Source organism: Homo sapiens, chromosome 13, assembly GCF_000001405.40.
Source record: "Homo sapiens chromosome 13, GRCh38.p14 Primary Assembly".
Classification (NCBI taxonomy): domain Eukaryota; kingdom Metazoa; phylum Chordata; class Mammalia; order Primates; family Hominidae; genus Homo; species Homo sapiens.
In genome coordinates this window covers 27,960,641-27,976,724 of record NC_000013.11, presented here as the reverse complement: position 1 = coordinate 27,976,724, position 16,084 = coordinate 27,960,641, and the positions used below count along the sequence as shown (strand labels likewise).

The 16,084-nt window shown below is 54.5% G+C and overlaps 1 protein-coding gene across 6 annotated transcripts, besides 5 other annotated features; it reads left to right on the top strand.

Annotated features, from left to right (window-relative positions):
• Positions 4,113-4,759: an enhancer, noted in NCBI's record as "H3K4me1 hESC enhancer chr13:28546103-28546749 (GRCh37/hg19 assembly coordinates)". NCBI's record gives its function as "activates a minimal SCP1, AML or CMV promoter by ChIP-STARR-seq in naive and primed H9 embryonic stem cells {active_cell/tissue: H9 hESC(naive and primed)}" and the evidence as "EXISTENCE:reporter gene assay evidence [ECO:0000049][PMID:30033119]".
• Positions 4,760-5,407: an enhancer, noted in NCBI's record as "OCT4-NANOG-H3K4me1 hESC enhancer chr13:28545455-28546102 (GRCh37/hg19 assembly coordinates)". NCBI's record gives its function as "activates a minimal SCP1, AML or CMV promoter by ChIP-STARR-seq in primed H9 embryonic stem cells {active_cell/tissue: H9 hESC(primed)}" and the evidence as "EXISTENCE:reporter gene assay evidence [ECO:0000049][PMID:30033119]".
• On the top strand, positions 7,410-15,807 carry CDX2 (caudal type homeobox 2). 6 transcript variants are annotated; one of them, NM_001354700.2, is made up of 3 exons: positions 7,410-8,259; positions 11,710-11,851; positions 13,356-15,807. In NM_001354700.2, the coding sequence occupies exons 1-3, from the start codon at positions 7,719-7,721 to the stop codon at positions 13,492-13,494; spliced, it is 822 nt and encodes a 273-aa protein (NP_001341629.1). In that variant the 5' UTR covers positions 7,410-7,718; the 3' UTR covers positions 13,495-15,807. The 6 variants fall into 6 exon arrangements, with proteins under 6 accessions (NP_001341629.1, NP_001256.4, XP_011533178.1 ...); NM_001265.6 differs by having other exon boundaries at positions 11,710-11,855; XM_011534876.3 differs by having other exon boundaries at positions 11,686-11,851.
• Positions 7,484-8,175: an enhancer, noted in NCBI's record as "OCT4-NANOG-H3K27ac-H3K4me1 hESC enhancer chr13:28542687-28543378 (GRCh37/hg19 assembly coordinates)". NCBI's record gives its function as "activates a minimal SCP1, AML or CMV promoter by ChIP-STARR-seq in naive H9 embryonic stem cells {active_cell/tissue: H9 hESC(naive)}" and the evidence as "EXISTENCE:reporter gene assay evidence [ECO:0000049][PMID:30033119]".
• Positions 9,560-10,251: an enhancer, noted in NCBI's record as "NANOG-H3K4me1 hESC enhancer chr13:28540611-28541302 (GRCh37/hg19 assembly coordinates)". NCBI's record gives its function as "activates a minimal SCP1, AML or CMV promoter by ChIP-STARR-seq in naive H9 embryonic stem cells {active_cell/tissue: H9 hESC(naive)}" and the evidence as "EXISTENCE:reporter gene assay evidence [ECO:0000049][PMID:30033119]".
• Positions 10,252-10,943: an enhancer, noted in NCBI's record as "OCT4-NANOG-H3K4me1 hESC enhancer chr13:28539919-28540610 (GRCh37/hg19 assembly coordinates)". NCBI's record gives its function as "activates a minimal SCP1, AML or CMV promoter by ChIP-STARR-seq in naive and primed H9 embryonic stem cells {active_cell/tissue: H9 hESC(naive and primed)}" and the evidence as "EXISTENCE:reporter gene assay evidence [ECO:0000049][PMID:30033119]".
• Positions 15,808-16,084: the final 277 nt, after the last annotated feature.

Genomic DNA, 16,084 nt, shown 5'->3' with positions numbered 1-16,084 from the left:
GGGCTGTGCTACCAGCGTCCCTAGGCTTGTGGCCAGACACCTTCTCTGGGTGTAGGAGCGCCGAGTGCACACCATGAAGAAAGTTCCGTGGCTCGCTCCTGTTCTTTGGGACCCTGCAACAATGGTGGGGTGCTGGGCCTGGGCCAGACACCTGCCTCTCTCTAGCCAGGGTAACCTGGGGGATTTCCTGACACACACAATAACTTGCTGCTTGGTAAAGAGGATTTTCTGACCCAGGACCCAAATACCAAGGCTGGGCCTAAGACTCAGAATAATCCACTGTGTTCGGGGCACCCAGTCCCAAGCCTGGGGGTAAACCCCACGCTTAGATAAACCAGGCCCCAAATGCAGCGTCTGTGCTCTTTATGTAAAAAAGCTCATGTGAGATGCACAGATCCCACCAGGGCTGGGTTCCCCGCAGTTTAGCAAGAGTGTAGATGAGCTCAGAATCTCCCAGACACGACCCCGGTGTCTCCAATTACATAGTTACATTTCAACAGTTCCAAGCTTGTCCGGAAAATGATTTTATTCCTGCGGGAAGGGGTGCAGATGGGGGCAGACGCTGAGTCTGTCCCTTTAGAAGGAGCTGGAGCTGAAGGGACAGAGAGCTGGCTGCGCGGCGCCTCTTCCGAAACACCTGAGCATAAGCAGCCGCAAGGGCGAGCGCAGGACGCGGGGCGTGGACGCCGGGCTGGGAAGAGCCCCGACCAAACCCGCGGGTGGCTCTGACTCTCCCCTTCGGGAGGAGCTCTGCGCAGAGGCCGTGGCTCGCGCGGGCAAGTCACCTGTGGCAGCCTGGCAGGGCAGTTCTCTCCGGCAAATAGCGACATGCTCTCGGTTTCTGTCGGCCTTGGCCTGGCAGAGCCGCTTTCCGCTTTCTGGCCTCTGGTGCGCCCGAGGCGGGAGAGGAGCCCCGGCCGCGTGGACCCTAGCTTGCGCGGCAATCATCGCGCCTTGACTCTAGGCCCGGCTGCTCAGGGAAGGACAGCCCAGGGCGCGCCCAGCGAGCTTCAGGGGGTACGGAAGTGGTTAGGGCAGATTTCAGGGTGAACAACTAATATTTTACTTACCAATTCGTTAAAAACAAAGAAAACAAAACCAATCGCGGTGGCAAGGCCAAGAAGAGTTGGAAGGCAAAGAGCTGATTTCAATTTCTGTAACCCGACGACCCTCCAGGCACAGGCCCTTACGAAGTGGGGGCAGCTTTGTGGATTTTCACTTCCCTTGGAAATGTCCAAGCCCCGGCAGGAGAACGCTCCCAGTAAAGAGACGGGAGAGCGCAGCTCCGGATGAGAACTCAGGAGCCGACCCGGGCTTGTCACTCACCTGTGTAACTTAACTGGGATACGGAATGGGGCCTCCTCTTTATTAACCCAGAAAGGTAGGCATTTTGGTCTGTGTGCCCAAAAGATGTCTACAGACACTAAAATTGGAAGGAAAGAAAGGGAAAAGGGCAACATAAATTCTATACATGATCTTTACCCATTTTAAATATGACACATTTCTAGAGATTAGCCACAGGATATCAGTTCTGACTGATTTTTTTTTTTTTTTGAAACGGAGTGTCACCCTGTCGCCCAGGCTAGAGTGCAATGGCGTGATCTCGGCTCACTGCAAACTCCGCCTCCCGGGTTCAAGCGATTCTCCTGCCTCAGCCTCCCAAGTAGCTGGGATTACAGGCGCGCGCTTCCACTCCCAGCTAATTTTGTATTTTTGGTAGAGACGGGGTTTCACCATGTTGGCCAGGCTGGTCTCGAACTCCTGACCTCGTGATCCACCCGCCTCAGCCTCCCAAAGTGCTGGGACTACAGGCGTGGGCCACGGCGCCCGGCCCAAGAGGAGTTATTCTAAGAAAGTATTTACTGTGAGACAAAAGTAGATGGATACCATCTTTGTCAACTGGAGAAAAATCTGGGATGGAATTTATGGAAAATTCATGCAATAAATGAATAAACCACAGTTATGGGGTGCCTGTGAAAGACATAGGACCTGGAGCATGGTCAGAATTGTAGCAATAGCAGAACCTGATTGTTCTGGTGCTATTTGGTGCAGGGGGTGGGAGTGGGAAAATGGGATTCTCTAATCGTGCTAGTTGGTTTTGTGTTTGGGGTGCCATGTTGCCAGGGTGGCACCAGCAGCTGTAGTAATAATAAACATCTATACAGATCGCTATGGGTTGCAAAGAATGCACATACTGTAGCTCATTTACTTTAAGGGACTTGAACAGCTAGCTGTGCAACTTGGGGAAAATCACCTAACCTCTCTGAGCCTTGGGTTCACCTTTGTAAAATGGAAAGGTTACACAGACTTTAAGACCCCTGACTCCCCTCCAGGGAATGTAGCTAGCCAATGGGACAGTAACTCAAGAGGAGCAGAACCTTTATTTAAGCTCCTTCCCTTAGCCACATGAAACTTACCCTGTAGGACTTCCTAGGAACATATTTTCATGTGGCAAACAAAGGTCATTCCAGGCACGAGACAATGGTGAGGGAACAAATGTTCATTGAAAGTTCTCCACGCCAAAGCCACGTGGTAACAGTTGGCTGGTGCTGCCCGGGGAGCCTGGGCTCCTAGCATCAAGAGGTTTCCTTTGGGGTGGAAGTTCTGGTTCCCAGTAGGGACACCAATCTTTGAGACCTCCAAGTCACTCCCTCTTGTGGATTTAAATCATCCTCTGTCCTCACCCACCACAAAGAATGTGTTATACAATGCCCAGTGTCCACAGGCCCTAGTTTCAGAAGAAAGGAAGAAAATGGGCAACGACTATTTATTTGCCTAACTTTTACCCAATGTACCAAACCAGATTTCTGTACCCAAATATTACCCTTTCTCCTGAGGCTCTTAATTTTCCTTGATCTCTTGGATGTGAGAATATATTTTGGATAGAGAAGCATAAAAAAAAAAAAAAAGTTGTTCCCTGCCTTGGATCAGAAATCTTGGTGGTCTCTTCACAACAAGAGTAAAACAGCTGGCTTTTCTTATCCCATTATCCTGCAGCCTGGTCCCTGAGTGGTAACATGTTAGCCCACAATGACCTCCCAATTAATTCAGAAACCTTTCCTCAGGTAGAGAGGGTCAGACACCCAGTTTGCTTGGGAAGAAAATATGCTTCACTCCACTGGGCAAGGAGACATCTGCTTCTGTGAATGAAGCCTGGGCGGCTGTAGGCAGCTGCGGCCCCTCCCTGCTGTTCAGGATGGACATGTTGGGATCCACTGTGGCCTGATGGGGCTGGACAGGTGGCGGACTCTCCGGAGGCCCTACAGAAAGGACGATGTCATTGATTTCCTTCCCAGAGATGTTAGCTGAGTGGGCTGTGGCAGGGCAAGGCAGGGTTGTTGGGGTCAAACCAACCATTATTGAGCCTTTCTTTGTGTGAGTAGATGGCTGATTGAGTGCAATGGCTGAAAGACTCCCTAAACTCCAAATTAAGTAGAGATTGAGCTGTTTTTCCACATCAGTATAGATGGCCAAGCTGAATAATTTTGAAAGCTGACATTCTCTTCCTTTTCACTCCTCCTTAATTATCCCTGGAATTCAGGTCAATGCAAGGTAAGAGTTTCCTGTGCAAGGTATAGAAGGACTATATTATTTGGATAGTTTTATTTTCCTTTTTTCAAATTAAAAAAATTTTTAGAGACAGGGTCTCCCTCTGTCACCCAGGCTACAGTGCAGTGGCACAACCATAACTCACTGTAACCTCGAACTCCTGGGTTCAAGCCATCCTCCAACCTCAGCCTCCCAAGAAGCTGAGGCTATAGGTGCATATCACCACACCCAGCTAATTTTTCAATTTTTTTTGTAGAGATAGGGTCTTGCTATCCTGGGCTCAGGTGATCCTCCTGCCTCAGCCTCCTAAAGTGCTGGGATTACAGGTGTGAGCCCCTGTGCCTGGCTGGACAATTTTCTTGATCTAAAAAAGATTCAGAAAGTCAACCTACATACTAAGGTGGATAGAGATGGCCTGCCCTAACTGGGTTATGTTAGCCAATGGGCTCCCCAGTTTCCAGGAGCCACAAATATCGGGCAGAGCATGGTCCCCTTAGTCAGAGCAAATATTAGGACCTTTGAACAGGGAGGGAGCTGTGTCAGTGATGTCTGGATTTCAGGAGTTTTTCATCTGCTTGGAGGGGCAGCCCGCCCTTCCAACAGCCTCCTGCTTCCCACCCCCTTTGTGGCCCCTGCCCTTGCCACCAGCCAGGATCCTGCATGCCTGGACCCTCTCTGAAGAATGTGGAATGGCCTCTACTCTGTCAGTAACAGAGGCATCCTTTTGATAACCTGATCGTGGCCACTCCTGCAGTTTTACTGTTGCTTCATTTACCAGGGTCTCTTTTTTTCCCCACCCTTTGCTGCCCTTAGATGTCAGCTCTAGCTCTGGCTCTGTGGGGTTGCAGTTTCAGCCCTAGGCCAACCGCAGGCCCAAGCTTCCCAAACAAGTTTGCCTCTCCCAGAGTGAGTTGCTACAGGCTTCTCTGGCCCAGCAGCAGGACTTACAGGGTAGAAGGGCCCTTCTGGCATCGAGGGTTAGGGATGACCATCCCTGTCCCTTCCTGGGGGCTTCTCAGTGCAGGCCAAAAGGCTCCTAAGAAAGACGCCAAGCACCTGGGGCCTAGGACTAAGAAAGCCCTGCATGGGGCCTTGATGTGGGTGGCTTCTGCCTCCTCCCAGGGACACAGGCCTGCACTTAGAAGCTGGAGAGGCTGCCCCTGAGCAGAGCGAATCTCCAGAGGCCAGTCATGGGGCACCAACCTGCTAGGGGCCAGGGCTGTCTAAATGCCAAGACAACCAGGCTCCTAGAGTTCTGTCAGCCACCTTCTACCCCTCTCTGACTGCTCCCACAACCCTGCCTTTTCAGGGACCCAGCTGGGCCCTCTCCTGGCTGAGAGCAACCAGGATGTATGGGGACGCTTACATTCTAAGAAGCTTGTCCGAGGACATCATTTACCAGCTCCTTTCCCCTCACCGAACAGGTCTAGACCCTGGGACCACAGCTGTGCCATGCCATTGCTAAGGAGACCCATTTTTTGCAATGAGGGAAACATTCGTGTTCACAATGATTTCCTTTCCATGGCTGGAGCACTCCAAGTGAGCCTCGGGCTTCCCTGTGGCTTGGCCTGCTCTGAGGCCTGGCTTGACCTGAGGGGCCAGAGCAGCCCTGGCCACTCCCAAAGCAGTTGGATGAGCAGGCCAGAGCCACGTCTTCAGGGCACAGCACAGAGACACAGCTGGAAAACAGGGACAATTAGCCAGCGGCCGGCAGCCTGGGCCATAAAAAAGCAGGAAGCGGCCACCGCAGGGCGGAGGGAATGGCTGTCCCTAATAAAGCGATTGTTCCAAAGAATGCCCGCATTCCGAAGACATAGGCTGGAGCCTCAGCCTCGGCTTCCAGAGCTCAGGCCTGGGAGCGGGGATGGTATGGGGGATGGAAAGGGGAATTGTGTCTCCAGGAAGAGGAGGAAGATGTTTGCTAGATCAAAAGTTCGAAGTGCCCACCACTTAACCTCCCACATTCCCACCCCATCAGGTCTGCGGACCTCCCCTACTGCCCTTCTCTCAATGATTCGGATTTTGTAACGGGGTTTGCAATTTGCTTCCGGTTGTATTTCTCAGGAAGTCCGATGACACTCGGCTGTCCAGGCCAGGCGCTGGAAGTCCCCCAGGAGGACCAGCTCGGTCTCCCACCTCTTGAGTGCACAGCTCCTTGGCCCCTGAGTACCCCACCACCCCCATTTCCAGCCTTCTTCCTTACAAACACGAAGGGTGGGAGGAACCAGAAAACAGGGGATCCCGCAGCCCTAGGCTAGTTCTGATCGCTTTCAGGTGTCTGCAGAGGCAAGTTGCTGGTTGTCACCTGTAAAATGGGGAGGATAAAAACACCTCCCAGATTTTGTTCTAGATCCTAGGGGGATGTGAGGCTCAAGGGAGATAAAGGACACTGGAGAGCACCCTAGAAATGACAGGATGAAGGCGATGGTGACAAATATCCGAGCGAAACGCTTGACAATGAGAACAGACAAGTGCAGGTCTCCAGGAGTGCCGCGAGCGCCCGCGGGTTCTGAGAGCGCTCAAAGCCGCCGAGTCAGGCTGCCCAGCCCGCCGGGCCTCGCCGCAGTGATCCTCATTCCCGAATCTGGCAGCGCTGTCAAAGGCTTGTATTAGGAGGTGAACGGCGGCCGCAGGCCCACTCCACGCGGTTGCTGAAACCGAGCTGGGCGCGCGCGGGGGCCGAATCTCGCCGCCTCCGCGCTCCTGTCGGGGCAGCTCCCGATCCCGGGCTGCGCGGCTTCGGTCCCCAAGACGGCCACTTCCAGCCCTAGGCCCCTTGGCCGCAGCGCTTCCCAAACCAAGAGAGATCCTTTCTCAACTCAGAGCTTTTCATTAGCAGTCGTTAATAATGGCCCTGAGTTGCCTTATCATCTCCTGGAAATGAGAAATAAATTTCTTCGGAGAACGTTTCCCTTTGTAAAGGACAGAGAGTTTTAAAGATACAGGTATGATGTAAGACACATAAATACCTAGGTAAGCATTAGCAGAAATTCTCTTTTCCTTATATTTAAGTATAATAAACATACAAGTGTAGCTCAATGAATTTTCACAAACTGACATTCTGTGTAACCAGCAGCCTAAGAAACTGCTTTACCAACGATCCCCTAGCTCGCCTCCAGTTATGCACGCCAATAACCACTAGCCTAACTTCTACCACATGCCCATTACTTCTGTAGTTTAAAACTTCTGATTCTTGAATGTAAACGTTTAACAATAAATCGCTTGAATTTAACTCAAATTTCAAATGTAAGATGAAGTCAGAGATGCAGCCTGAATCTAGGATCATAATTTGTCTTGTGCGGAGGGCGAGTAATTTCCTTGGGCAAGAAAATAACTGGAGGTGACAGTTGTTTGGGGCTGCAGTCGTCCGGGCCAGGAGCACAGGGCGGGAAGGAATGGCCCATCTCTTAGGGCTCTCTGCTTGTCACCTACCAGGTTGGTCAGAAACGTTCTCATCAAAGCAATGGTTCTCTTTTCTTTTCTCTTTGGGACAGAAGGAGTTTCTTGACCGCCCTCTTCCCTGCAAATGCATAAACAACCACTGCTCCTGTCTCCAAGCTCAGATTCCTACCAAGATAGCCTTTTCTCTTCCCCTCTCTTTTGTAAGTCTCTTGATTTCATTCTTTGAACCTGTGATTGGAGGTTAAAGTGCACCAGGTTGGAAGGAGGAAGCTCTTAACAATAAAGGTTTGAATATTTAGCTGTGTCAGGTCGCTGCCCTCTCACGAGCCTCCCTCCCCTTTATCTTTTAAAATGCAAATTATGTTTCGAGGGGTTGTGCGTAGAGTGCGCGCTGCGCCTCGACGTCTCCAACCATTGGTGTCTGTGTCATTACTAATAGAGTCTTGTAAACACTCGTTAATCACGGAAGGCCGCCGGCCTGGGGCTCCGCACGCCAGCCTGTGGCGGGTCTTCCCCGCCTCTGCAGCCTAGTGGGAAGGAGGTGGGAGGAAAGAAGGAAGAAAGGGAGGGAGGGAGGAGGCAGGCCAGAGGGAGGGACCGCCTCGGAGGCAGAAGAGCCGCGAGGAGCCAGCGGAGCACCGCGGGCTGGGGCGCAGCCACCCGCCGCTCCTCGAGTCCCCTCGCCCCTTTCCCTTCGTGCCCCCCGGCAGCCTCCAGCGTCGGTCCCCAGGCAGCATGGTGAGGTCTGCTCCCGGACCCTCGCCACCATGTACGTGAGCTACCTCCTGGACAAGGACGTGAGCATGTACCCTAGCTCCGTGCGCCACTCTGGCGGCCTCAACCTGGCGCCGCAGAACTTCGTCAGCCCCCCGCAGTACCCGGACTACGGCGGTTACCACGTGGCGGCCGCAGCTGCAGCGGCAGCGAACTTGGACAGCGCGCAGTCCCCGGGGCCATCCTGGCCGGCAGCGTATGGCGCCCCACTCCGGGAGGACTGGAATGGCTACGCGCCCGGAGGCGCCGCGGCCGCCGCCAACGCCGTGGCTCACGGCCTCAACGGTGGCTCCCCGGCCGCAGCCATGGGCTACAGCAGCCCCGCAGACTACCATCCGCACCACCACCCGCATCACCACCCGCACCACCCGGCCGCCGCGCCTTCCTGCGCTTCTGGGCTGCTGCAAACGCTCAACCCCGGCCCTCCTGGGCCCGCCGCCACCGCTGCCGCCGAGCAGCTGTCTCCCGGCGGCCAGCGGCGGAACCTGTGCGAGTGGATGCGGAAGCCGGCGCAGCAGTCCCTCGGCAGCCAAGGTAAGCAGAGGCTGCGCCCCTTCGGAGGGTGCTTGGGAAGGCGCGGGTCGAGCCAGTGGCTGCTGCGCGTCGCGCGTCCAGTGCGCACAGGGGCGTCCCGGGCTGTCTGGGAGCTCGGCGCCAGGAGGGGCACGGCCCGGAGACAAATTCGGGGGCCTCTGGCCCGTCGGGGCTTCTCTGACCTACTGAGCCTGGGAGTGAATATTCTGAGTCTCAACACCGTGTTCAGGCGTCCTCTTTCCAAGAGCTCCTCATTCGCAACCCCGGGACACCTTCGGGAAGCTCCGGGGAATGTCGGCGTGAGCACTGCTGGACGCCGGCAGAATCGCGTCCTCCGGCACTTGCTGCGGCATGCATTCCTTGCGTGGCTCCTGGCCGCCGAGGAGAGAGGGAGGCTCGAACCTTCTTGGGCTAGGTCTAGGCCATTTATCTCCGCTCTCTCTTTCCCCATCTGAGCCATCTAAGAAGAGAAGTGACCTGGGGGGGTCGGAGGATGGCTAGGCTGTGTGTGGGACCGGGTTTGGCCACTCGGGCCAATTCAAGGTACAGCGAGCAGGCAGACCAGGGAGAGCTGCTGTCGCTGGGAAGAAGGTGCTAGCCCCAGCTGCTAAGGCGACGGGGGCGCGCCCCGTCTCTGAACCTCTGACCTGTGAAGGGGTCATTTCAAGCAAAAGCTGGAAGGCTAGGGGCAAGAAGCCTAGGGGCAGGCGTCTGCGGAGAGAGCAGGGAGACGGGGAGGAAACCCTGGTGGGAATTAAGCCGCCGCTCCAGGTAGGGGTCATTTCTCCCAAAGCTTCCTTTCAAGGGTGTCAGGGATGTCTGTGAGTGTGTGTGTGCAACTGAAAAAGATCCTAGGTTTGCCGGACTGTGGGGCTCATTGACTCTGGGTCTGCCCCTTCTGGTGTTCGAGTGTGCCTAGAGGTGGCAAGGAAGTGCGGTGGGGAGAGTCCTAGTTGAGTGCCCCTTTTAAAGTCTTTCCCCAGCCCTCAGCGCTTCCGCTTTTCTTGCTTCGCTCCTTGATGCCCCAATTGGGCAGGCACGCTGGTTATGGGCACTTTGCAGAAGTTTATAGCCAATTACAACTGTATAAATCAAAGCGCCCTTTGGGGGCTGTCTCTGGGCATCGGTTTCTGCGTCACTGTGCACATGCTAGGGAGAGTCCTGGTGGGAATGCCGCCGACCGGGGAGAAGGCCACAGATCAGCCTCGGGTGAGCCTCAGAGCTTTGGCTTGGTCCCTTCTCCTAGAGGAGGCGCCTTTCTCCTAGCAGGGGCTCCCAGATCCTGGCTCCCAAAGACCCACTTTCTACAGCCCCTGTCTGGGGCGCGGTTGGCGGGGGTGGCGCACGCCCTAAGGAAGACCTTTGCGTGTCCCGGGAGAGCGGCCGCGGGGTGAGGGCCGGGAAGGGGGCGGGAGGGAAGCCGCCAGAGCCCAGGCCGCGGGGTCAGCAGATGAGAGGCCGCTGTGAAGTCCTGCGCCGAGGTGGCAAGGCCGCAGTCGGCGCCGGGTGCCCTTGTGATGTTAATGTGGGGTGGCCGCAGCCCGCGGGCCGGAGCCGGGCTCCTCTGCGGAGCGTCATCTGTCAAGGTGTGGGGGTGGAGGGGGGGACGCGGCCTGGCTTGCTTTGATATACACCTTCCCAGCCCTGCCATTGTCTCTTTTAGGGCCCGGAAAGAGGGTGGTGACTTTCGCAGTCAATAATGAATTCTGACAAGTCCCTCTCATCCCTCCCCTCCATAGCCCCGCTCCTAGGTTCCCAGGGGGTGTGGGGCGCCTCCAAGGCCCTTGGGGCATGGGTCGAAGAGCGCTCAGGGTCTGGTCATCGCGTTGCCCGGCACGTCCGGGACACTGAAGGGGCAGCACCCGAGCAAGGGTCGCTCCGAGACACTTCCAGGCGAGTCTCCCTCCCGGGGTGTTCGGCTGAGGGAACTGCCCTGCGCCTCAGCTCCGGAGGTGTCCTCTGTGGCTCCAGCCAGGCTCCGGTGCCAACCCCGCCTGATACTATCTGCGTGACCCGGTCTGATTCTCCATTTCCTCATCTGTAAAAAGGGGCGAGTACCAATGGCAGCCTGGAGTGGGTTTGAGGCGGTCACGCGTGTCCGAGCGTCCACCGCGGAGAAAGTCGCGTTAGTTCCCTTTACTTTCATAGCAGGCGCGGGGTCGGGGCCGCAGCCCCATTCAAATGCGCCTGCAGGGTCGTGTTTATGTTAATGCGCCTGGCGGGGAGGGGGATGAAAGCCGGGGCCGCCATTTGCTCAGTAGTGGTAATTCAAACAGAATGTGGTTGTTATTAAGGCATTGAAAGGGCTTTTCTTTGATAAGATCGCCTTGTCCTGCATTGTTTGCGGCTGTGTTGGCCTTTCAGCGGCTCGGGGGAGCTCCCTCTGATCAGGCCTGTATCTTCCCAGGACGCTTTTGTTGTGGTTTGCAAAGGGTTTTACCTGAACAAAGTCAGCCTGCGGGGCATTAAACACCTCCAGGCAACTCCCAGGCCCTTCAGATCTTTCTGTGGGATTGGGCACTGGGCGATTGAACCTGTTCAGCTGCAAGAAGACCCAAAAGTGGGACGGAGCCAGAGAGAACAGCTTCTGGCCAGGGCTCTGCCAAGGGCTGAGCCAAGACAGACCTGGTGGAGACGCCAGGCTCGGGCCTGCTCCAACATTGTGGACACTATTTGTCAAGGCCCTTCAGTAAAACAATCAATCTGGGATTTAATATGTTGACTCAATCCAATGAGCATAGATCACTGGTCAGGATAACTCTGGCCGGATTTGCAGCAGGAATAAATGGAGGATCAAAAAAGAAAAAGTACCAAACGCCAAACCTGGTCTGGGCAGGTATAAAGTGTCCCCAGCAGGAGGGGTTTTCTGCCTGTTCCCTCGGCCAGAGCCCAGCTCAGAATTCCACCTGATGGGCCTGGTGTGTCTGGGGGATGATTCTGGCGACTTGTCAGCTCCTGAGCCCCGCTTTCCACTTGTAGTAAAGCAAAGTAGTAACCCCCACACCCCCTCTACAACATGTGCCCACAATGACAGCTGTTTTCGGGGTGGGCTTCCATCTCTGGTAGGCCTGGAAATCTGGATGCTTCCAGGATCCCGGCCACTTCACCCTGCCCCCTTTCCCTTGGTGTCAAATATATGCCAGTACTGTATTTGGTTTACCGAAAGGGTGGTTACATTCTGCTGTCTTCTGTGTGAATGAGGTTTTCACTTTCCTTAATTTTTAAAAACCACTTAATACCAAGGTTAGTTTAGTTGCCTCCACTAGCCTCATACCCTCCCCCCACAGGACCCTCTGGGGGGTCTTGTCAGACTTGGCAGGAACCAGCCAAACCCGGGCCCCCCAGGGTGGTGGAGGAAGAGAAATGTCCCTGGGTTAGGGAGGTTTGTCATTACCCATGACTGATGGGCTGCCTTGCAGTTCTCAGCCCTCACTTCTCCTTCCTCCACAGTGAAAACCAGGACGAAAGACAAATATCGAGTGGTGTACACGGACCACCAGCGGCTGGAGCTGGAGAAGGAGTTTCACTACAGTCGCTACATCACCATCCGGAGGAAAGCCGAGCTAGCCGCCACGCTGGGGCTCTCTGAGAGGCAGGTGGGGACCGCCTAGCTCCCTCCGGGCGGGCCACTGCCTGGCAGAGGACCATGAGAGTTAGAAAATCTGGCTGCAGGGGCCATCTAAATCTGTGGAGAGACTGAAGCAGGAGGATGCAAGCATTCGTCTTTGGAGTCCTTTTTTTTTTTTTTTTTTTTTTTAAACAGAGATGGGGTCTTGCTTTGTGGCCCAGGCTGGAGTGTAGTGGCACAATCATAGCTCACTGCAGCCCTGACTTCCTGAGCTGAAGGGATCCTCCTGCCTCAGTCACCTGAGTAGCTTGGACTACAGGCTCGAGCCACCATGACTGGCTAATGTTTAAATTTTTTGCAGAGATGGTCTCACTGTCTTACCCAGGTTGGTCTCAAACTCCAAATGCTCCTCCTGTCTTGGACTCCTAAAGTGCTGAGATTACCGGTGTGAACCACCATGCCTGGCCTGGAGTACATGCCCCCCCACCCGCCACCGTCGAAACGCAGTTTCACTCTTGTTGTGCAGGCTGAAGTGCAATGGCGCGGTCTCAGCTCACTGCAACCTCTGCCTCCCGGGTTCAAGCGATTCTCCTGCTTCAGCCTCCCAAATAGCTGGGACTACAGGCATGTGCCACCACGCCCGGCTAATTTTGTATTTTTAGTAGAAATGCGGTTTCTCCATGTTAGTCAGGCTAGTCTCGAACTCCTGGCCTCAGGTGATCCACCCGCCTCGGCCTCCCAAAGTGCTGAGATTACAGGTGTGAGCCACTGTGCCTGGCCCTGGAGTACTTTTTTAAAAAGCCTCCTTCTACCTTTAGTCCTCTTTTTTTGATGTTGTTGATTTTTTCTGTCTCTCTCTTTTGAGGGATATAAGAAGTGTGAAAAACAGCCAAGGGTATTAGTTTAATCCAGAATTCCATTTGGGTCTATAAAGACATATTAAAGACCTATTCTCTTTGTTTCCAGCACTGTACCTAAGAAAATAAACTGAATAAAGTACTCAGTCTCTCACAAAAACTAGAGGGACAAGACTTGGTTCATGAACATTTTATATATATAGTCTAGAAAAACAGGCCAACTTCACAGCCAGGAAGCCACAAAATTAAATCTCATTTTCAGCTCTAAGGTGAGGAAAATTACGTTTTAGTTTAGCCTTGAGGGGCCAAAGGTTGCCATTTGAAGTATACCACCCAGCACTGGCCTCCCTTTGCTGTGTAGAAAGGGCCTTGCAGTTTCAGTTTTCCTTGGTTCTGAGACTTTAAACTTTTGCAGTAAATACGTAGATAAAAGTTGCTTTGAAAAGAAACTCAGGGAGCAAGGAAGGAGGAAGACTCTTCCCCATGAGGCTGAATTGGGCCTAAGAATGGATCCAGGGTTGGGCTGTTATGGGGATGCCCGAGGAAAGCTTCTAGAAGGACTTGGAGTTCTGTAGCTGGAGCAGAAGATGTTGATGATACTGCTGGGTACTGTTCCTCTTTTCCCTCACATCTTCACCACAATGTGCTTTTCTCCACCTTTCCATTTCTAGGTTAAAATCTGGTTTCAGAACCGCAGAGCAAAGGAGAGGAAAATCAACAAGAAGAAGTTGCAGCAGCAACAGCAGCAGCAGCCACCACAGCCGCCTCCGCCGCCACCACAGCCTCCCCAGCCTCAGCCAGGTCCTCTGAGAAGTGTCCCAGAGCCCTTGAGTCCGGTGTCTTCCCTGCAAGCCTCAGTGCCTGGCTCTGTCCCTGGGGTTCTGGGGCCAACTGGGGGGGTGCTAAACCCCACCGTCACCCAGTGACCCACCGGGTTCTGCAGCGGCAGAGCAATTCCAGGCTGAGCCATGAGGAGCGTGGACTCTGCTAGACTCCTCAGGAGAGACCCCTCCCCTCCCACCCACAGCCATAGACCTACAGACCTGGCTCTCAGAGGAAAAATGGGAGCCAGGAGTAAGACAAGTGGGATTTGGGGCCTCAAGAAATATACTCTCCCAGATTTTTACTTTTTCCCATCTGGCTTTTTCTGCCACTGAGGAGACAGAAAGCCTCCGCTGGGCTTCATTCCGGACTGGCAGAAGCATTGCCTGGACTGACCACACCAACCAGGCCTTCATCCTCCTCCCCAGCTCTTCTCTTCCTAGATCTGCAGGCTGCACCTCTGGCTAGAGCCGAGGGGAGAGAGGGACTCAAGGGAAAGGCAAGCTTGAGGCCAAGATGGCTGCTGCCTGCTCATGGCCCTCGGAGGTCCAGCTGGGCCTCCTGCCTCCGGGCAGGCAAGGTTTACACTGCGGAAGCCAAAGGCAGCTAAGATAGAAAGCTGGACTGACCAAAGACTGCAGAACCCCCAGGTGGCCTGCGTCTTTTTTCTCTTCCCTTCCCAGACCAGGAAAGGCTTGGCTGGTGTATGCACAGGGTGTGGTATGAGGGGGTGGTTATTGGACTCCAGGCCTGACCAGGGGGCCCGAACAGGGACTTGTTTAGAGAGCCTGTCACCAGAGCTTCTCTGGGCTGAATGTATGTCAGTGCTATAAATGCCAGAGCCAACCTGGACTTCCTGTCATTTTCACAATCTTGGGGCTGATGAAGAAGGGGGTGGGGGGAGTTTGTGTTGTTGTTGCTGCTGTTTGGGTTGTTGGTCTGTGTAACATCCAAGCCAGAGTTTTTAAAGCCTTCTGGATCCATGGGGGGAGAAGTGATATGGTGAAGGGAAGTGGGGAGTATTTGAACACAGTTGAATTTTTTCTAAAAAGAAAAAGAGATAAATGAGCTTTCCAGATTTCAGATTCTGTATTTATCTTCAGATTTTGTCTGCAACTATTTTTTATTTTTTAAAGAAATGAAATATCTTCTCTGCTTGCAAGCTGATTTGGAAAATTCAGAGAGGGAGTGGAGATTATCTGGACAGCCTCATTTTACCCCAGAGCATCAGAAGCCTGAAAGAGCAGGTTCTGAGACCTTCCCTGCCCCCAAGCCTGAGCCCAGCCTTGGAATGCGTGGCTCTCCTGGGGGTGCCTTTGGGCAAAATGCACATCTGAATGGCCAGGTGCTTCCCAGCAGTCAGAAATTATGGGGGGTGGGGGTGAGAGGGCCCCCTCATAGCATCTCACCAAATCCACATGGAGGCTTTTTGCAAACAGCAGGCAGTTCCCTTCTGCAGTGACTCCCTCCTAAGGACGCCCCACAACCCAGCTAGTTAAACGTGAGCATTAAATTTTTTTTAAAAAAAATCCCCCTAGTTTCCCAAGACAGCATTTCCATGAATTTAGTCTTCTGTAAATCACTGGGCATTTCCGTGAGCCCTTTCTGCCTCCACTCTCTTCTCTGTCTTTGCAGTTTCCTTATCCCCGACCGCGCCCCCCCTTCCAACCCAATCACCCCACAAACAAGATTTCTAGACCCAGTATAAAATGATCCTTTTAGTGACAGTTTCTTGTTATCTGGCCGATCCACTGGGGACCGGGCTGCAGCCTTTAAAATTTTTGATCCTGGAGGCCGCCGAGCTGAACTTTCCGGCAGGACCCGGGCGAGGGGGGCTTAGCCCTTCGTTTCGATCTTCCCACCAACATCCGAGAGCCTAATCAGCGCGCCCACGGAGGCGCCTTAAGGGCAGTTGGGGAAGATGAGCAGAGCCGGGAAACAGCAAGAGGTATAGACCCTCTGCAGCACCTCTCCAATTCCGCGGCCCTTCCGGGTGGCGTATACAGCTCCAGGATTGGGAAAGGGGCTCCGGTGGCCCGGCCCGCGGGCGCCTGGCCTCGAAGCCAGAGGGAGGAGTGCGGGGCGTGGGGTCGGGGGGTGCCGGGCAGAGGAGGAAGCCGTGTCCGGGTCCGCTGGGCGAGGGGTCCTGGGTCAGGGGTCCTGGGTCAGGGCCGGTCTGAGCCCCGGTGCCCCGCAGGTCTCCCCGCGCCCCGGCCGCGCCCACAGGCCCGCCCCCTAGCCGCCGGGGTTGCTATGCGTTGCCGTGAAACGCCTGTCAATAAACCCTGTTTGGACAGTGGAGCAAGAGCACATGGGTTGTTTGCTTAGTGGTTAGAGGTTCAAAAGTCGACATTGTCCCGCTGCAAGCGATTACAAGTTCTTCCCCTTCCCGGGGCTCGGTCCCCTTGCACGCGGGTACGGGGCCAGGGAAGGGAGCTCGGCTGCTCTCTGAGATGCAAGCACCCGGCTCGCTGCTGCGAGCGCCTGGCAAGCCTCCCGGGCCACGGAAAAAGGCGCAAAACCAAGACCCTCTCCGGCAAGTGAGGCCACCGCGCTTCTAACGCCAACTGTGTCACCC